General features: G+C 50.5%; 1 protein-coding gene across 25 annotated transcripts in view, besides 2 other annotated features; it reads right to left on the bottom strand.

Annotated features, from left to right (window-relative positions):
• Positions 1-20,397, bottom strand: part of CUX1 (cut like homeobox 1) — a 467,952-nt gene that overhangs the window by 270,235 nt on the left and 177,320 nt on the right. The gene's annotated exons all lie outside the window — the stretch shown is intronic.
• Positions 14,512-15,198: an enhancer, noted in NCBI's record as "H3K27ac-H3K4me1 hESC enhancer chr7:101641806-101642492 (GRCh37/hg19 assembly coordinates)". NCBI's record gives its function as "activates a minimal SCP1, AML or CMV promoter by ChIP-STARR-seq in naive H9 embryonic stem cells {active_cell/tissue: H9 hESC(naive)}" and the evidence as "EXISTENCE:reporter gene assay evidence [ECO:0000049][PMID:30033119]".
• Positions 15,199-15,886: an enhancer, noted in NCBI's record as "H3K27ac-H3K4me1 hESC enhancer chr7:101641118-101641805 (GRCh37/hg19 assembly coordinates)". NCBI's record gives its function as "activates a minimal SCP1, AML or CMV promoter by ChIP-STARR-seq in naive H9 embryonic stem cells {active_cell/tissue: H9 hESC(naive)}" and the evidence as "EXISTENCE:reporter gene assay evidence [ECO:0000049][PMID:30033119]".

Genomic DNA, 20,397 nt, shown 5'->3' with positions numbered 1-20,397 from the left:
AAAAAAATAACAAAATGAAATGAGAAGCGTTTGCATATGAGTCAATCAGTCAAGAAAGCAGAGAACCCTCTATTTCTGGAGTGACTAGCCACAGAAAATACGCTGTATATGTGAGCTTGGATCTATGGAAAATTGTTGATGCTTAGAGAATTATTATGTGTTTGGTCAATAACTGCCTTTTGAATACTTTTGGAATTCCTCTAAGCAAGCTTTCTCAGGCCTGTTCCCAAATAGTGACTTTCATGCGGTCCTGGAATTTTCTTCTGAATACACAACATGGCTTCTTTGTAATGAAACAATTTAGGAAAGAAATACAGTTGAAGACATTCTATATCTCTTGGCTGGAGCTGCTGGCCCTGGTAGATGAATCATAGAAGTCCATAAATGTCGAGCAAATTTGCACAGACTTTTCTTTTACTACCATATATGGCAAATATAGATCTATTTATCTCCATCTTGACATTAGCTTCGGCGATTTTTGTACCTTATTGTCTTTCTTACAAATTTCTCTTGATCTACGTCTCAGCCACACAAGACAGCATGTCCAAAGACAGTAACGTCATTCATAACCCTGGGATGGTGCTTTTTTTTTTTTTTTGGTATGACGGCAGAATGGCAGAATGTTTAAACTAGTAAGTATTTGAGGTAGATCAAAGTACCTAGCTATTTACATTCTTGCTACATCTTAGCGAACACCACAGGGCCGTAAGGATTACCGCAAGAATTTAACCTGAACAAGTTTTCTCCCCCAAGGAATTAGGTGTTTCTTATCACACATTTGGGAATCAGCTGAAAAACCGTGGTTGGTGCTGACTGCTTTTGATATATTCCTTAAAGAGATGAATACTGAAAATATTTTCAGGATTCTAAAAGCTGACTTGCTGGGAAATTCCATGACCGGCTAAGATGATTTAAGAATTCTCTGGGGGAATGCTTGCTTCATTCATTCATTGATTCATTCCTTCATTAAATTTGTACTGAGAGACAGAGATACAAAGACGGACAACCCCCTCCCCCCGCCCCCACTCTCCAGGACACAGAGTGGACACGGGAATGTATACCTTCTGGAAGCAGCCAGGGCCATCTCTTCATGACCCTGGGCAGTACCTTCAAAGAGTCCAGTCAGAGAGGACGCTGGGAAAAGTAGAGTGACTAGTCTATCTTCTGCTTTCATTATCATATTCCCCCATGTGACAAGTACAAAATCTTCAGCTACAACCTTTAAAAGCTACTGAAGGCCAGGCACAGTGGCTCACGCTTATAATCCTAGCACTTTGGGAGGCCAAGCCAGGTGCATGACTTGAGGTCATGAGTTCGAGACCAGCCTGGCCTACATGGTGAAACCCCGTTTCTACTAAAAATACAAAAATTAGCCAGGCATGGTGGCACGCACCTATAGTCCCAGCTACTTGGGAGGCTGAGACATGAGAATTGCTTCAACCCGGGAGGCGGAGGTTGCAGTGAGCCGAGATCGCACCACTGTACTCCAGCCTGGGCAACAGAGTGAGACCCCATCTCTTAAAGAAAAATTCTAAATAAATAAAATACATTTTTTTAAAAAAGCAAATCCTGTGAAATCAACAATATGGCAGACTATGTTTAAAACCTAATTGGGTGAAATTATTTTAGAATACCCTTTCAAAGAGTCCTTTCTGTAGTCCAAAATTATCTGAAATAAATAAATAAATTCAAGCGTCAACCAGCATGGCCAACATGGTGAAACCCCGTCTCTACTAAAAATACAAAAATTAGCCAGGTGTGGTGATGGGCGCCTGTAATCCTAGCTACTTGGGAGGCTGAGGTTGGAGAATCACTTGAACCCAGGGACCAGCGATCACACCATTGCACTCCAGCCTGGGTGACAAGACCGAAATTCCGTCTCAAAATAAAAAAATAAATTCAAGTGTCTAAGTAAGATAATAAAAATCCTCTCACCCTGCTGCCGAAAATGAGAGGGGTGTACCTCCGTGTCCTGCCCTGGTTAGGTACCGACTCCACCGGGTAGTTCTCCCACCCACAGGGAGTTCACCAAAAAAGGCAGAAGGCCAGGCGCGGTGGCTCATGTCTGTAATCTCAGCACTTTGGGAGGCCAAGGTGGGCAGGTCACCTGAGGTCAGGAGTTCAAGACCAGCCTGGCCAACACGGTGAAACCCGTCTCTACTAAAAACACAAAATTAGCTGGGCATGGTGGCGCACACCTGTAATCCCAGCTACTTGGGAGGCTGAGGCAGGAGAATCACTTGAACCTGGGAGGAAAAATAAATAAATAAGCAAGCAAGCAAGCAGAAGAGACCATGTTTGTCTCCAAAATCCCATCACCAGCGTATGAGAATAGCAAAACTGAAGAGAAACGCATTGGTGGTCTCGGGGAAGGGGCTGTAGGGGCTGAGCAGCTCCTGCCAGGCAGAGGATCACAAAATCCAAACGTGTCCTCCGAACGCCCACTGCGCTCTCAGTGCTGGGCTTGGCCACAATTTGGTGTGAATGCTTCAAGACTCACACCAAATCCTTGGCATGAATACACCATACAATGATATATCCAGAGACGGCTTACTCGAACAAAGAGACCGTCAATAACAATATAATTTTACTTTTTTTTTTTATTTTTCTGAGATGGAGTTTTGCTCTTGTTGCCCAGGCTGGAGTGCAATGGCATGATCTTGGCTCACTGCAACCTCCGCCTCCCAGGTTCAAGTGATTCTCCTGCTTCAGCCTCCTGAGTAGCTGGGATTACAGGCATGTGCCACCATGCCTGGCTAATTTTTTGTATTTTTAGTAGAGATGGGGGTTTCTCCATGTTGGTCAGGCTGGTCTCACACTCTCGACCTCAGGTGATCCGCCCACCTCGGCCTCCCAATGTGCTGGGACTACAGGCATGAGCCACCACGCCTGGCCAATATAATTTTACTTTTATAAAATGATATCCATGCTTTCAGCTTAGACACAAAGCACAACCGGCATCTTTTAGCGTGGTCCTCACGCCCGCCGGCAGAACTCCTTCACTGAGTTTCCTCAATGTCTTTTAGACACCTCTTCATCCTATAAATGTGCCACACATGCATGTGACATGTCCCTATGCACACACATATTTACTTAAATACGCACACACACATACAAACGAGTAACAGACAATGTCATCTCTACTTCCTTCCCTTTCCCGGAAGCTACAGGTATGTACATCACATGTATGTTGCCTGATATGAAAGAGAGGCCCAATCACGAATTCCATGATACAGATTTAAGAGATGCTATGCATGGTTCACTTGGTGAATCTCCCTTTCTTATGTAAGCACATATCCAAGTCAGTTTTTTTTTTTTTTTTTTTTTGAGACAGAGTCTTCTTGTTCTGTTGCCCAGGCTGGAGTACAGTGGCGTGATCTCAGCTCACTGCAACCTCCACCTCTGGGTTCAAGTGATTCTCCTGCTTCAGCCTCCTGAGTAGCTGGGGCTACAGGCACTCACCACCATGCCTGGCTAATTTTTGTATTATTTAGTAGAGACGGGGTTTCACCATGTTGGCCAGGCTGGTCTCGAACTCCTGACCTCAGGTGATCTGCCCACCCCCGCCTCCGAAGTGCTGGGATTACAGGCATGAGCCACCGCACCCAGCTGCACCCTTGCTGTTTCATATCATGGAATCTAGCACCGGCAGCAAGGGAGGCCGCCCACCTCACTCTTTCTTTTTTAAGAAGTCCGCAGTTCTGAGAGGTCAGAGCAACCTTTCTTTCATTTTCAAGCTCCCCATGTGTGCTGGAGAGGCTGTCTTTATAGGTTTTAACATGTACCAACCAGGGATTAAGCTAAGTGAGGCACGCCAGTCACGAAGGCTCACTGAAATTATGCCTGCTAATCTTTTAAATGGCAAGAACGTTAGGCAGCACAAAAGGAATGTTAGTAATTCCAAAGCTTTTACCCAACTGAGGAGGTTTAAATTTACAGGAACATGTACTAGAGATAAAGAAGTCCAAGGCCCTTGGCCAACCTGTCTGCCACGCTGGTGTGCAGAAGAACAGAAGATTCTGTAAGGAGAGAGAAGGGGTGGAGGCTGGAAGATGGGCAGAGGGCCAGGGTTTAAGACCTGGCGTGGGCCTGAACTCACCTGAATTATTTTACTTGTAGAAAGAGGCTACAGGTTGGGTGCAGTGGTTCATGCCTGGAATCTCAACACTTTGGGAGGCCAAGGCGGGAGGATCACTTGAGGTCAGGAGTTCGAGACCAGCCTGAGCAACATAGCAAGATCCCACCTCTAAAAGAGAAACTGGGTTCCCTGGTCTGGACTGAGCAATTTCTTTGGCCTTCTTAGAAATGAGCCGCTCTGCAGCCCCACGCAGCCTTTCTTCAGTGTGTACATTAGGGTGCTGTGCGGCCTAGGTGAGGGGTGTCACCTGGCCACATCCGTGGAGGGATCCTAACACCATCATTTGTGCGGTCAGCGTCATGACAGCCACTCCACTGTGCTTGCTTCTAGATGCTTCCAAACAGCCCTTCAGGTATGGAATCATCCCTGTCGTGTAAATAGGAAATCTGGAATTCCCAGAGGTTATACATTGCACCTGAGGCCATCTGGCTACAATCCAAACTCTGGGTGCGGCTGGCGCCAAAGCTACTACACCATGCTGCCTTCTAAGCTGCATTTCATCTGGAACCGCTGTGGCTGGCAGGCCGAGCCTCTGAACACTGCAATTCAGGTTAATCATGCAGACCTGCTGGAGCACGCGGGGCCGAGGGTTCCCTGTACCTCCCTTCTCTCCCCTGCTGTATGGATCTCTGACCTCACTACTGGCAGGCCTGAACTGCCATGAGTGATCAAGAACCTGAGAGGCCTCTGATCTGCTCCACCTACATCTGTGCCCACCAGGAAAAACAAAAATCCTGATAAAAGACCTGGGGTGCGCATCAGGATTCACCATGACTGTGCTGTGGTCTCGCCTCCTGAAAAGCTATTTTGTTCATCGTAAGTAGGCAGTTTGACAATTGCTCAATGTTCAGGCCCTACCCCATGTCCTGTCCTAGTCAAGGTCAGGGAAGGAAAGGTGCCTTGTCCCCAGGCATGTGGGCCCCCAGCAGAGCAGGACAGGCTGGGGACCTGGGGTTCTTAGGCTCTTTTGGTTGGGGGCTGAACACTGGTCATATCCCAATCTCTAGAGAGGGCAGAGGAGGACAGACACGCACTCTGCACCTCAGGGATTACACGAGGAGAATAAAGACACGCACACGACCGAAATACCAGGCAGGAAATGAAATGTGCCGAAAGACAGGCGCAGCTAGCCTACAACGGGGGCCCAAGGAATGAAAATCCCTCTTTGCTGGGCTGGGGGCACCTGAATTGGGTGATATTTGCCACAGAGGGGCGAGTAGAGGTGGGGGGGCTTTCTAGAAAGAGACAAGATACAAACAGAAGGAAAAAAGAGGAGATCCAGAGATACAAACAAGGTGAAGCTGATGGAGTAAGACATGGGAGAGGGGGCCAGCGGGGACAGGCTCCCAGATCACCGAAGCCCCTAGAAGAACCCAGACATGGCCTGAGAGGCGGGTGGACGGCCACCAACCATGCAAAAGGTAGTACGCAGAGACCAGACCAGGGTCTGCTTCAGGAAGGTGACTCCTGCTAAAGGACAGGCCAGAGGGGAAAGCCTGGAGATGGAAGATACCAGCTGGGAAATACAAGTTTGGACGAAGGTAACAGAACCAGAAGTGGTGCCTGTAATCCCAGCACTTTGGGAGGCCAAGGCAGGTAGATCACCTGAGGTCAGGAGTTCGAGACCAGCCTGACCAACATGGTGAAACCTTGCCTCTACTAAAAATACAAAAATTAGCCGGGTGTGGTGGCGGGTGCCTGTAGTCCCAGCTACTCAGGAGGCTGAGACAGTAGAATCGCTTGAACCCAGGAGGCGGAGGTTGCAGTGAGCCGAGATCGCACCACTGCACTCCAGCCTGGGTGACAAGAGTGAGACTCTATCTCAAAAAAAACAAAACAAAACAAAACAAAAAAAACACCAGAGGTGGGTGGTGGCGAGGGAGGGGGGAGGAGGAAGACAACGTTCCCCAGAATTAAAATAAACTGGACTTGGCAAGCAGACTGACGGGAACAGGAGAGAGTGGGGCTTTGTAGAAGTTTAGGGCCCAGGTGAGGGTGGCAGCCCCTGCCACAAGCCAGACAGGAGGGGTGCAGGCCAGGAACTGATCTGGTGGTGAAGATGATGAGAAATCCACGTGGGAAATACCCGGAGCTGGCAGGACTTCCACAGAGAACCCAGGCCCTGGCACCCAGGGGCGGAGGGTGGGAGGTGAGGAGGTTCTGTGGCCAGGGTGCTTGGAAATGTCCCCTTAACAGGAGAGGGGAAGAGAACAGAAAGGCTGCAACAACTAAAAACTATAAGGGGCAAAAGGCTGAGACCTGTGGAAGAGCCGAGGGCCTCAGTGAGTGAGTGGTCTGATCTGAGAATGAACTGAGGGGTTCAAAGTCAGAGAGGGCCATGGCTTAGGTACAGGAGGCCGAGGCTGCAGTGAGCCAGGATCGCGCCCCTGCACTCCAGCCTGCGCTACAGAGCGAGACCCTGTCTCAAAAATTCAATCAGTAACAAATGAAATACAAACAAAATAAAAATTCAGAGGGCCATCAGTGAAGACCTCGGGGCATCTAGGCTCCGTGCATGGGGTCTGTTCCTTGGATGAGGCCAGCAGCAAAGATGAGAGATCCATCCCAAGGCAGCTCGTGCAGAGCCACTGCCAAGCAGAGGAGGAGGCCCGCGCTGGCGAAATCTACAAGAAATACACTTTTGTGTGGGAAATCTAAGAAGCAAGGGCTTTCCGCTGCATCCCGGCCTGCACCGTGGTGGGCGGGGACGGCTTCTTGCTCCTCTCGCACGCCCAGCATGGAGCAGCCCCTTGCACCCTTGGCAGTGACGCCTGATGCATCCAGTGGTTTTATTCCACATCTGCCCGTCACAAACTGTTCTAGATGAAATCAGTTTCTGAAGATGACAGCCCAAACCCATTCACCAATAACCTTATTTTCCCTAAAAGAAAAATTCATTCTAGGGCCGGGCACGGTGGCTCACGCCTGTAATCCCAGCACTTTGGGAGGCTGAAGCGGGTGGATCGCCTGAGACCAGCCTGGCCAACATAGTGAAACTCCATCTCTACTAAAAATACAAAAATTAGCCAGGTGTGGTGGCGCGCTCCTGTAATCCCAGTTACTCGGGAGGCTGAGGCATGAGAATTGCTTGAACCCGGGAGGCGGAGGTTGCAGTGAGCCGATATCGTGCCATTTCACTCTAGCGTGGGTGATAGCGCGAGACTCTGTCTCAAAGAAAGAAAAGAAAAGAAAAGAAAAAAAATCCATTCTACCGAGATGAGATAAAAACTGGCATTCCAGAGTTGTCCTTCGAGGGAGCACTGAGGCGTGGTCAGCAGAGAGCCTGACGAGGCTTCCCTGTTCAAAGAGTAACTAGACCATCAGCCTGGCCATTAAAAGGCAGGTTTCCAACTGGAGGCTCCAAACTGAAAGAGACCGACTTCCGAGCCAGTGGACCCCGCGGGTCTTTTTCTCTTTACTCCCGGGTTAAAAGGAGGGAGGTTCTGAAGGGAAACCCCAGGCAGCTCTCTTTCTGAATGCCTGCAGCCCCACTGGGGTCCTGCTACTTCCTCCCTAGGGTCTGCACTGAGAATGACGGACTTCAACCTCGGCAGCCTTAGCCTTCCAAGCGCATCTTCCATCGGCTTCCAAAACAAACCAGTTTCTCTGGCCAACCTCATCCACGCGGCCGCTCGCTCCTCGTGACCTTTCTCTTTAGACCCTCTGGTTTTGGTAAAAGCAAAGGGTTTTAGGCTTTGTAGCCTGGGATGCTAATGAGCTGCTCTTACTTCATCGAAAGGGCCTAAGAGGAGCTACACTACTTGTGCCTCCAGAAGCAGGTTCCCAGAAGGATGTGATCTTTCCAGGTCTTTCCAGAGGCTGAGCTGCTGACTGTGTCCCTGAGAGCCCCAGCCTCAGCAGGTGGAGTAGACAGAGGAGGGGAACCCAGCATCAGTGGGGTGAAGCTTTGGGAATCACGCAGTCAGGAAAACTAGCCTCAAGAAGAAAGAGGCCAGGTGCAGTGGCTCACGTCTATAACCCCAGCCCTGTGGGAGGCTGAGGCAGGAGGATCACTTGAGGGCAGGAGTTTGAGACCAGCCTGGGAAAGATAGGGAGACTATCGTCTCTGCAAAAATAAAAAAATTAACCCGGGTGCAGTGGTGCACACCTGTGGTTCCAGCTACTTGGGAGGCTGAGGTGGGAGCATCGCTTGAGCCCAGGAGCTCGAGGCTGCAGTGGAGCTATGATCGTGCTACTGCACTCCAGCCTGGATGATGGAGCAAGACCCTGTCTCAACAAAACAAAACAAAACAAAACAAAAAACCAGGCCGGTCTCGAACTCCTGGCCTCAGGTAATGTGCCTGCCTCAGGGATTACAGGCGTGAGCCACCGCGCCCGGCCCAGTGGAGATTTTTTAATGCATCTCTAGAGTTTTCCCAGAATTCCTTTCCGACTCTATCGAGAGCCAAGTTCTCTGTGACACAGCAAAACCCCCGACTCCCAGGTACTTCTGGGTAGAAGCTGACAGAGCCTGAATGACGGGCAGGAGTGGGACCCAAACAGGGGGATGACCTGCAGTCCCCTGCCTGCAATAGCAGCAGATGCTCTCTCCCAGGGGTCAGCAAGCTGCGGCAAGCCGGCCAAAACCAGCCAGCTGCTGGGATTTTTATGGCCCATGAGCTAAGAATGGTTTTTACACTTTTAAATGGTTGCATTTAAAGTGGTTATATAAGTGCCTACATGATATCCTGATTTTGCCTCTTTCTCCGTCAAGACTAACATATGTAGCACCAGGCTCTTTTAGAGAAAGCGTGTGGACCCCTGATCAATTCCCTTGTTTCTTTGCCTCTCTACTTGCTGCACTGTGTACCTGTCCAGGTGTGTGGCCCTGTGAGGATGGCTGCTTCACATCCCAGGAATCAGACCACGTGGAAGGAACCAGGCTCGGTGGTCAGGACACCAGAGCCCAAGTCTTAGCCCCATCCCTCTCCAAGGCAGGCATAACTCCCAAGCCTCAGTTTCTCCACCTGGGAATGACTCTAGCTCAATGGTGGCTGTGAATATCAACTGAGATGTGAGATAGGAATATATTTCTTAGAAGCCCAGAACACTCTTGGAATGAAAGTTTATTGTGATTTACGAGTTATCAGCCAAATTTGTTTTCTTTATGTTGAAACCCAACATTCTTTCCCAGTCCACATAAATCAAGTATGTGGGAGGAGGGGGATTTGATCCACTGCCAAACAGATGAACTAAGCCATCCGACCCGTGCTCCCAGGCTCCAATTCCACCACCAGGTCAGGGCAACCTCTTCATTCTAGGTCACTTTCCTTTGTACCTGATTATACCTGGCTGGGCCAGAGGAGGAACAGCTGCCCCAATCTCAAGCTAAAAACCAGAGGTGTGTGGACCCGTAAGGAAGCCTGCTTGGCATCGCAAATCAAACCATGTGGTAACAGCCGGGCTCTGGGGCAGGATATCAAAGCCCTGTCTTTCAGCCCCATTGGGTGAGGATAGCTCACCTGGTCCACCTTGTGCTACTGGGAAAATCTTTCCCACTGCATCCAGGTGCAGGTAAAGGAAGACAAAAAAGTTAAGCTGTATTTTTTAGGAAATTCAGAACAACTAAACATCTTTATAAAATTTATACGTGTATACATATAGTTTGTAGAGACAGGGGTCTCACTATGTTGCCCAGGCTGGTTCTAAACCCCTGGCCTCAAGCAATCCTCCCACCTTAGTCTCCCAAAGTGGCGGGATTACAGGCTCAGCCTAGAACTAAACACCTTATAACATGAAGCAAACTGCGGACTATGAGTATTCAAGGAGATGGTGATATTTAATATCCTATGTTATTCTAAAACTGGGGTTGCAATGTAAGTTCCATGTAAGTGACATCTTGGCTGCCTTACTGGCTCATGAACATATCTCATTCAATCCCCATAGCAACCTACGAGGCTGCAAACACCCCATTCCAGGGATGAGAAATCAGAGGCTGAAACCACCTGGGGTGACCTGATGAAGTGGTGGGGCTGCACCAGAGCCCAGGCCCCTGACCCCGGGGAGAGCCCAAGTTCTATACATGGTACAGGAGCCCCTTCCTTCCTCCAGCTCAGACTCGAACGGAGATCCCCTTCAATTCCAAGCAGCCTTGCAATAAAGCAAACAATGAATGCAAGGCTGGCACTCCAGCCCTGCTCTGGTCACCTTCTGAGCAGCTAAGAAGTAACTTCCCTTTATTGTCATACTGTTTATTTACAAGAAAACAACGAACACAACTGACAACAGAACAGTGGAGCGGGGGGCGGGCGTGTGTGTGTGTGTGTGTGTGTGTGTGTGTGTGTGTGTGTTCGGCACCAGGTGCTGGGCTTAGTGGGGAGGGGCTGTGCCTGGCCAGAGACCCCCGCCCCTTGTGGGATCAAGGGGCCTCTCTAGAGAGTCCCTCTGGGCCGAGCTTGGTGGCTCACGCCTGTAATCCCAGCACTTTGGGAGGCCGAGGCGGGCAGATCACCTGAGGTCAGGAGTTTGAGACGAGCCTGGCCAACACGAAACCCTGTCTCTACTAAAAATACAAAAATTAGCTGGGTGTGGTGGCAAGCACCTGTAGTCCCAGCTACTCAGGAGGCAGAGGCAGGAGAATTGCTTGAACCCAGGAGGTGGAGGTTGCAGTGAGCCGAGATTGTGCCATTGCACTCCAGCCTGGGTGACAGAGCAAGACTCCATCAAAAAAAATAAATAAATAAAAATAAAAAGAGTCTCTCTGCAGACAGTAGCAGCAGCAAAGATTCCCCTTCCAAGGACTGGAAGGCTTCCACCCAAGGGGCAGGTCACAGCTTTTTCACACAGATACGGTGCTAGGGATGGAGGTGGCAGGGCGGCCCAGCACCACTCACAGATCTGCAGAGAGCACTCACTGCCGGGTGGCCTAGAATTCCGCTGCGATGCTCTGACATCAAAGGAGCCTGATCTGTAACTCCCAAGTGGGACCTTGCTTCAGACTCGATAGAACAGGGGAGCTGGACTCTTGGAAGACTGTGGTCCAACAGCAAGGCCCCCTTGTACCAATGCCAGGGCAGGGAGGGGACTGGCCACTCGGAACTCTCGCTAGTAAGTGCCATATGGGACCTGAGAGCCCCAATCTCTATACAAAGCCCCAGTGGGGCAAAACCTATGAGAAAATACAGGGTGAAAAGCACTATGGAGCAAAAAACTCACCCAAATCCCACAGCCATCCACGCAAGAAGGGAGTGACCAATCTCAGTTCCTCTCCCCTTGCCCAGAACTCAAGGTGATGTGCAAAAGTTGCAACCACACACACACACTATATATATTTATTTTTTCTTTCTGAGACAGGGTCTCACTCTGAGGCCCAGGCTGGAGTGCAGTGGTGCAAGCACAGCTCACTGCAACCTCCACCTCCTGGGCTGAAGAGATCCTCCTGCCTCAGCCTCTGGAGTAGCTGGGACTGCAGGCATGCACCACCATACTCAGCTTTTTAAAAAATATATATTTTTATAGAGATGGGGGTCTCGTTATGTTGCCCCGGCTGGTCTAGAACTCCTGAGCTCAAGCAACTCACCCATCTCAGCCTCTCAAAGTGCTGGGATTACAGGCACGAGCCACCGTGCCCAGCTTACTGTCTTGTTTTACATAGAACAGTTCTCTAAACACCTTTTTAGTCACAGTTGTAAATCAATCACATTTTTCCAACGCTATAGCTAAAGGATGAACACTGATGCCTCCAATTTCAGTACCTTTGCGGAAACATCTAATTAGCAACTAAGCACTTCTGAGCAGGGGCAAGCTCTTGCTGCTTCGAGCACACCTGTGATGAATGTGTCCAGAAGGAAGGAGTGAGTTTTGCTCAGCACACGCTTATCAAGAACCTGTTGTGTGTCCTGCATGTGCATGGCCAGGAGGAACATCCTGACCACCAGGTGCTGAAATTTTGCAAAAGAATAAGTGCAAATAATGGCAATACAGCATTAAAAACACCAAACGGGGCCGGGCGCGGTGGCTCACGCCTGTAATCCCAGCACTTTTGGGAGGCTGAGGCGGTGGATCACCTGAGGTCAGGAGTTCGAGACCAGCCTGGCCAACATGGTGAAACCCTGTCTCTACTAAATATACAAAAATTAGCTTGGTGTGATGGAGGGCACCTGCAGTCCCAGCTACTCGGGAGGCTGAGGCAGGATAATGGCTTGAACTTGGGAGGCGGAGGATGCAGTGAGCTGAGATCGTACCACTGCACTCCAGCCTGGGCAAGAGAGCAAGACTCTGTCTCAGAAAATAAACAAACAAACAAACAGGAGCTTTTCAGTTAAAAGACAAGGAACACAAAAATTCAACATTATTTTGGTTAAGAGAGGGAGGAAGTGTAAGTCAGCCTGGGCTAACTGGGGCTACTGGCAATCCCCAAGAATGCTCCTGGCAGGCCCTCCAGCCCATATCTAGAAGGCAGGCAGGTGGGCTTGGTTATTTTTAGAACACCTGGAGCAATCTAGGGTCTTTAACAAATGCAGGACACTAGTCAAAAGCAAATCTTGTTTAAAAATATCTTCCCCTATGGCCAGGCATGGTGACTCATGCCTGTAATCCCAATGCTTTGGGAGGCCAAGGTGGGATGATTACTTGAGGCCCATGAGTTCAAGACCAGCCTGGGCAACAAAGCGATACCCCACCTCTACAAAAATACAAATAAACAGTATTAGCCTGGCATGGTGATGCACACCCTATAGTCCCATCTACTCAGGGAGGGTGAGGTGGGAGGATCACCTGAGCCCAAGAGTTTGAGGTTGCAGTGAGCTATGATCGCACCACTGCACTCCAGCCTGGGTGACAAAGTGAGACCCTAGCTCTTACAAACAAAACAAAACAAAAACAAAACCTTCCCTTAAATACTAATACTCACCCAACCCACCAGCATTCCTGCACATAAAACCCAACCAAATGAACCCCTTGCTAAGGGAGCAACAGTTGTGTGAAGGCCAAAACCAGGTGAGGTACACATTAAGCAATTCTGCACAATGGGCTGCAGCTTCAACGTGCCCACGGGATCTGGCTATTTTTGGAGAAATCTAAAGCAGGACCAGAGTCATTGATTAAACAAGAATGTTTTCCAATGTCAATGGTCTTGAAATATACATTGCTCTGCAGGTATGAGATTGTTTAAAAATCTTTAGAACTCAAGATGCGATCTTCCTTCCACAAGAGGCGGATGAGAAAGAAGCCTGGGTCAGACGCATGCACTTGGGAAAACATTTGGAAGTGGTTTTGTGGACAAGTTGCCTGTGAGAGGCATCCAGAGTCCGATTGCTATTTTAGTGCTAGCGTCCAGAAGCAAGCTTAAGACACATGTGTCTCAATGCAGGGCAGCTGCTTTCCAAAAGAGCTAAACTAGGGTCTCTCTCTCTCTCTCTTTTTTTTTTTGAGATAGAGTTTTGCTCTTGTCACCCAGGCTGGAGTGCAATGGTGCGATCTTGGCTCACTACAACCTCCGCCGCCCGGATTCAAGGGATTCTCCTGCCTCAGCCTTCTGAGTAACTGGGATTACAGTTGCCTGCTACCACGCCTAGCTAATTTTTGTACTTTTATAGAGACGGGGTTTCGCCATGTTGGCCAGGCTGGTCTTGAGCTCCTGACCTCAGGTGATCCTCCTGCCTTGGCGTCCCAGAGTGCTGGGATTACAGGCATAAGCCACTGTGCCTTGCCACTAGGGTCTCTTTAGAACACACATGCACACACACACGCACACACACACGCACGCATGCCACTGATAAAACCAGGCCCTGGTTTGGGACAAAGGATTTCATTTTCTTCCTGAGCCCTCAAACTTCAAAACCTATATATTTTTAAATGAGATCCAATTCAGTACATTCATCCATAATCTTAAACCAAGCAGCCCAACTGTGTATGGGGCAGTGCAGACTGCCTTGGAAAGGTTTAATCTTGGAAGCAATTGGGCTGCAAGCGGCCCTGCTGCAGACGAGCCCGTCATCCTCTGTCAGGAGGTCTTTCCAGGCAATTTGTCACCAGCCTCAGCAGAGCAGAAGCAGCGCTCAGACACTCTAATCGTGGGGTGCTTCGAGGAGTGGTGGCAATCCTGCTTTCTAGATGTAGCCGACATCAATCAAAGAAAAGTCGTCTTAACCGAGCTGGTGTATTTGCCAGAGAACTGAGACTGCAAAGCAGCCTTTCAAAGCTCATGGTCAATCAAGTTCAAAGGGCTATGCTTAGGCACAGCCTGCAGGCTCAGCTCATATGAAAAGGCTGGTAGGAAAGATAAAAATCGGCCAGGCGCGGTGGCTCATGCCTGTAATCCCATCACTTTGGGAGGCTGAGGCAGGAGGATCACATGAGTCCAGGAATTTGAGACCAGCCTGGGCAACAAGCAAGACCCCATCTTAAAAAAAAAAAAAAAAAAAAAAAGGTAAAAAAAAGTTTGTAAAGGAAAGATAAAAATCCCTAGAGAGTGGAGGCGACAGCTGCTGCTTCTAGAAGCACAGCCCAGCCACAGCCATGCGGACTCCAGAGGTGGCCCCTCCTGCTGCAGTGATGAGACTGCCTCCCCTCCCCTCCTGCTTGCCTGGGGACAGGATCTGGTGGCACGATGGAGGCCAGCATTCCTGCCTGTCTGTCCTCTGCAAGCTAGGCTCCTGCCCGAGGAGGGAAATGCTGCAGAGGCACCCTACAGAGGTGTGGCCCGAGGGCGAAGAGGAAACTCCTGCTTCAAAGCCCAGCCGTGAACCTGGGGGCTCAGGGGCCTGTTTCTTGCTTGCCCTTGGCATAGCAGCTCCCTCAACTTAAGAAAGCGACGAAGAGAGAGCTGGACACTGACGTTTAGAGGGAGGAAGTGGCTTCCTGCCCAACACAGCACAGCATCCTCGCCAGGATCCTATACCCTGGCCAGAGCCTGGTCAGGCACTGGAGGCCGAGGCTGCTTTCTTGGTTCCAAAAAAACCAATTTTTTTCACCAGTGATGGGTCCACCTTCAGAAAGATTGAAATCAGGAAAGCCAAAAGTCTCTCTTTCTCTTCTTCCTCAAACGCTATCGCCCTGAGTGGGGTGTGGAAATACTACTTCTCCCCCAAACAGGTCGTGATGCTGGTGGACGAAGACGACAGATGCCCTGCCGGCTGTCCTGCTGAGAAGCGATGGCTGGGGGCACCGCCCGGGCTGGGAAAGATGCCCAGGGTCTTTGATGCGTATCCCTGCCCGACCCTTGGGCAGGACAGGAACTGGCTGTCTCATCTCTAAGTCTTGAAATCCACACTGTGCACACTCGGTAAATGTGCACCTACAGCTCAGACACAGTCCTGCAATCCGCACTGTGCACACCCAGTAAATGTGTGCCTGCAGCCCACGCACAGCCCTACAATCCGTGCTGCACACATCCAGTAAATGTGTTCCTGCAGCCGGGCACAGCCCTGCAATCCACACTGCACACATCTGGTAAATGGGAGCCTGCAGCCCGGGCACAGCCCTGCCATCTGTACTGTGAAGCCTACAGCAGCCTTTACCAAGGCTTATTATGGCACAGTACCCGGCTCTGTGCTAGGTCCTGGGCTGGGGCAGCAGGATACACAGTTCCACACTGCACTTTTGCTAAAGGTGCCCAATTTAAGATACAGGCACTGAGCTGAGTGACTGACAGTTGGGGAGTTCGTTCTCTGGTGGCACAGGAACCCCTGAGACTCAGGAATATGAGTCAGGCCAGCAAGGACTGCTCTGTGAGTGCCCACAGGGCCCAGCAGCACTGGGGTGGGGTCCAGGGTCAACCTCTTATCCAACAGTGAAAGCTCTCTGAGATAACATTGATGAGAAGAGAGGATCCCAAGAGCTGTGGCAAAGACCCTGTCCCAGACTCAGGCACAGTCCTGCAATCCGCACTGCACACACAGCTGCGCTCTGCCATCTGTACAATGGGCACAACATCGGCCTCACATGGCTGAGATGAGGCCACGGGACACAAGTAGGTATTAGTGTTTATAAATTGAAAAGTTAGCTGGGCCTGGTGGCTCATGCCTATAATCCCAGCACTTTGGGAGGCTGAGGCGGGAGGATCATTTGAGTTCAGAAGTTTGAGACCAGCCTGACCAACCTGGTGAAACCCCGTTTGTACTAAAAATACAAAAAGTAGCCAGGCGTGGTGGTGGGCACCTGTAATCCCAGCTATTCGGGAGGCTGGGGCAGGAGAATCTCTTGAACCCAAGAGGCGGAGGTTGCAGTGAGCCCAGATTGCACCACTGCGCTCCAACCTGGGTGACAGAGTGAGGCTCCGTCTCAGAGAAAACAAAACAAACAAACAAACAAACAAAAAAACAAACCAAAAGAAAAGTTATGGAAATGTCCATAGAGACGTGGAGCAGGCTCCGTGCACGCACTCATTACACCATCATGGGCACCCCAGGGAGGCCCACACTACCGCTTTCCCCACTCTGGGGACGGGGAGAACCTGATTTGTCTTCGGTCCACAGCTAGTGTGTGCAAGGGCCCAATTCAGGTCCAGATCGGCGTGCTGACAAGGACTGTGTTTGGGGCTGCTCCCCTGCAGACAGAGCCCCATGGGCAGGCCCTGATGGGCGGTCAGAGGACACAAGACAAGAGCCAGGTAAGCAGCTCTGAAGGCTGGGCCGGAGTGCACACGAGCGCAGGGGAGTGCACACGAGCGCAGGGGAGCGATTCCCAGAAGGGCTGCCCTGTGAGGAGACTGTGCCGGAATTTCCTAACAAAGGCCACTGTGGGCAGGAATACTGGAGGGGACACGAGATTTCCATGGGCAGACGCAGGGTGGAAGGGTATGTATGCGGCAGAGGAGCAAGAGAAAACAACCTGGAGCAGAGGAGAAAGAGAAGATAGCCTGGGGCTGTATTTGACAAAGTCACAAAATGAAAGGTCAATGAAGGGTAGGAGGAAGAGAGGAAGGAAGTAAGGGAGGGAAGGAAAAAGACGGAGGGAAGGAAACGAGGGAAGGATGGATGGAGGGAGGGAGGGAGGGAGGGAGAGAAATGAGGGAGGGAGGGAGGAAAGGAGTCAGGCATAATTAAGGTTTTGCATTTTAGATCATGAATTCATTTTCTCCCTTGGAAACCACTGTGCGCCTGCCTCTGCCTCAGTACCGCCACCCCCAGGTCTGCTCGGGGCCCCCTCCATGGTCACATGGGGCTTGGCAGAGACAAGCCAGAAAAACACAACGTGCTGTAACAGGGCTGCACAGCAGGGCCGGACCACCTGCAGGCGTGGGCTGCTGTCCACTTCCAAAGGTCAGCGGGTTGGGGGGTTCCAGGATAGCCAGCTGAGCTCAAGAGACGGGATCGGACTCTGGGGAGCCTTCTGTCCTGTGCCTGTGACCAGTACACACCTAGAGCAGAGGATGGTGACACAGGAAGTGTCCACAGCCACTCTCCTGCCATCCTCATGTGCATGCCTTCCTGGGTCTGTGGGGTAAGATGTTCTCTCTCCCAGAAGGTCAGATATCATCACCAAAATGGAACATAGGCAGATGGTCCTGCATCTCTCTCTCTTTTTTTTTTTTGGATGGAGTTTTGCTCTTTGTTGCCCAGGCTGGAGTGCAGTGGCGCGATCTCATCTCATGCAATCTCCGCCTCCTGGGTTCAAGCGATTCTCCTGCCTCAGCCTCCCGAGTAGCTGGGCTACAGGTGTGCACCACCATGCCCGGCTAATTTTTGTATTTTTAGGAGAGATGGAGTTTCTACATTTTACCCAGGCTGGTCTTGGACCCCTGACCTCAGGTGATCCACCCACCTCGGCCTCCCTAAGTGCTGGGAGGACTGTCGTGAGCCACCGCAGCCGGTCCTGCATCTTTTTGGTAAATATTAATAAGCGTTGGCAACCTTCCTGCAAGCTGCTTCCCACTCTGCTAAGTCCCCATACACACAACTCTCCACTCACCAGGGTGCTAAGCAGACGCCCCTATGGGACATGGGCCAGCCGATGTTTGGATGCTTCCAAACACCAACAACAGTTTTGGACGAGTAACTCTAATTCTTGACAACTATCGTCTAAAAGACATTTTATAATGGTCTGTGGGATTATTTGTTGCATTTGCTTCTCTATTTGGTGACCAGAATTTATTTCCCAAGTACATTGCTAAGTTCCCACCATGTTTACTGTAAATGGCCCTTGCCTTGCAGACATTTGATGAAGGTCATTGAATCCAAAGGCGTAAGATAGACCAGAATTTAAGCCATGCAGGGTGAGAGGGTACTGTTTTATAAGAAGGAGGGATAGAGACACATTCATTTTTTTAAATGACAGAAAGAACAGGATGCACCTGGCGTGCTTTGTGACTGGGAACAGTTTCTGTGGGTTTCTACTGAGAATGTTTTCTGGAGTCCACGTGGCAGGGATAAGTGAGCCATGGCGGCCTGGATGGGACTCTTAGGAGGGTATGAGGAGTGTTCCTAAGGCATCCAGGCAGAATGGCTGGAGTGAGGGGTGTGCCCAAGAGCCCGTCAGCAGCAGTTCCCCACAATCACCCCCAGCCAGGTTTCTGAGCTGCCATGTTTGTTTCTCTCTCTCTTTTAATTTTGAGACAGGGTCTTGTTCTGTTGCCCAGGCTGGATGCAATGGCAGGATCGCAGCTCACAGCACCTTCACTTCCCGGGATCAAATGATCCCCCCGTCTCGGCCTTCTAAATAACTGACACTAATGGCATGTGCCACCATGCCCGGCTAATTTTTTTTTTTTTTTTTTTTTGTAGAGATGAGATCTTGCTATGTTGCCCAGGCTGGTCTTGAACTCCTGGGCTCAAGTGGTCCTCCTGCTTCAGCCTTCCAAAGTGCTGGGATTACCGACATAAGCCACCGTGCCTGGCCTTAATGTTTCTCTTCTAGACACGTGAGATGACTGAGTTCTTGAATGCCCTCCAGAAATTAAACCAAGACCTTCTGGAACATTCTTGGGAGGAAGGTAACAAGCAGATTCCCGAAGGTGACAATGGAGGGAGTAGAAGCCTTCAGCCCAGGTCCAGAGGCACGGATCTGGGAAGGGAGCTCATATTTCCTTTTTTGTTGCTGTTGTTTGAGACGGAGTCTCGCTCTGTCACCCAGGCTAGAGTGCAATGGCACAATCTTGGCTCACTGCGGCCTCCACCTCCTGGGTTTAAGCGATTCTCCTGCCTCAGCCTCCCGAGTAGCTGGGATTACAGGCGTGTGCCACCACACCTGGCTAATTTTTGTATTTTTAATAGAGACGGGGTACCATGTTGCCCAGGTAGGTCTCAAACTCCTAACCTCAGGTGATCTGCCCACCTCGGCCTCCCAAACTGCTGGGGATTAGAGGCATGAGCTACTGCCCCTGGCCTCAAATCTTCTTAGTCTAGTTAAAGGTGTGCAAAGCTGGCCAAGAGATTCCAAAGAAATGAATGTCCAAGTAATGCCAGCCAAGGTCTAGGAGAGAAATAACGGTGGCAACTGCAGTATAATGGGGAGAGAATGACAGAAGCTGAGGTCCTCAGGAGATGAAATTGGCAAGACTTGGTAATGTGTGGATGAGGGGAGGGAGATGGAAGAAGGGCTCCCATGTGGCCACTCTTGGGCTTGGCTGGGGTGGCCCACTGGGCACTGTGGCCACTACCGGGGTTAGGGGGCTGGAAGCCTCAATGTGTGGAGACAGATGGGCTCTGGGAGTGCTACGTCTGCAGCATGAATGGCAGCCAGGCAGATGGATACAGAGCTGGACGGGTTTGGGGCTGGGAGGACAGAGAGAGTAACAGGAGCGCTGGGAATGGCCTAGGAGCACCATGAAGGGGAGAAGGGAGTCCAGGATGCCAGGGAAAAGCACAGAGGATGAAGGGGTGGCTCAAACAGCCTGAGAATGTCCCAGTCTGCACCGGGAGGGGCAGGCAGGGATGAGGGCTGACATTAGATGGAAGAGGCTGGGACAGAAGTCAGAGTTAGGGAGAGGAAAAGGCAGCCCTGTCCAACTTGCTCAGAGAGGCTAAGAAACCCGTGGGGGCCACATAGCTAGGCCGTGGAGGTGCTTTTGTTAATCTGCCATACATGTGTAGAGGAAGGACAAATATATGAATGAATGAAAAAATAGCAGTCGCGCAGAGTGCCAGGCACTTTGCTTTATTCCTGCATCAGCAGCTCCGACATACTATGAAATGAAAAGGTAAGTGCTCCCCTGGGAGGCCTGAGCCACCCCCAGAGGATCCTGCATACTCCCACCCCCCATCAGAGCAGCTGCAGCTCTCTCTGACTCCATTTCTCTGATGGTGCGGCTGCTGGAGGCCTGTGGCCATCTCCAGCACGCCTTGTTATCTTATTTATTTATTTATTTATTTATTTTTGAG

The sequence above is a fragment of the Homo sapiens genome, chromosome 7 (assembly GCF_000001405.40).
Source record: "Homo sapiens chromosome 7, GRCh38.p14 Primary Assembly".
Lineage (NCBI taxonomy): Eukaryota > Metazoa > Chordata > Mammalia > Primates > Hominidae > Homo > Homo sapiens.
Note: the sequence above shows the minus strand (reverse complement) of the source record. Positions and strands in the feature narration are given on the sequence as shown.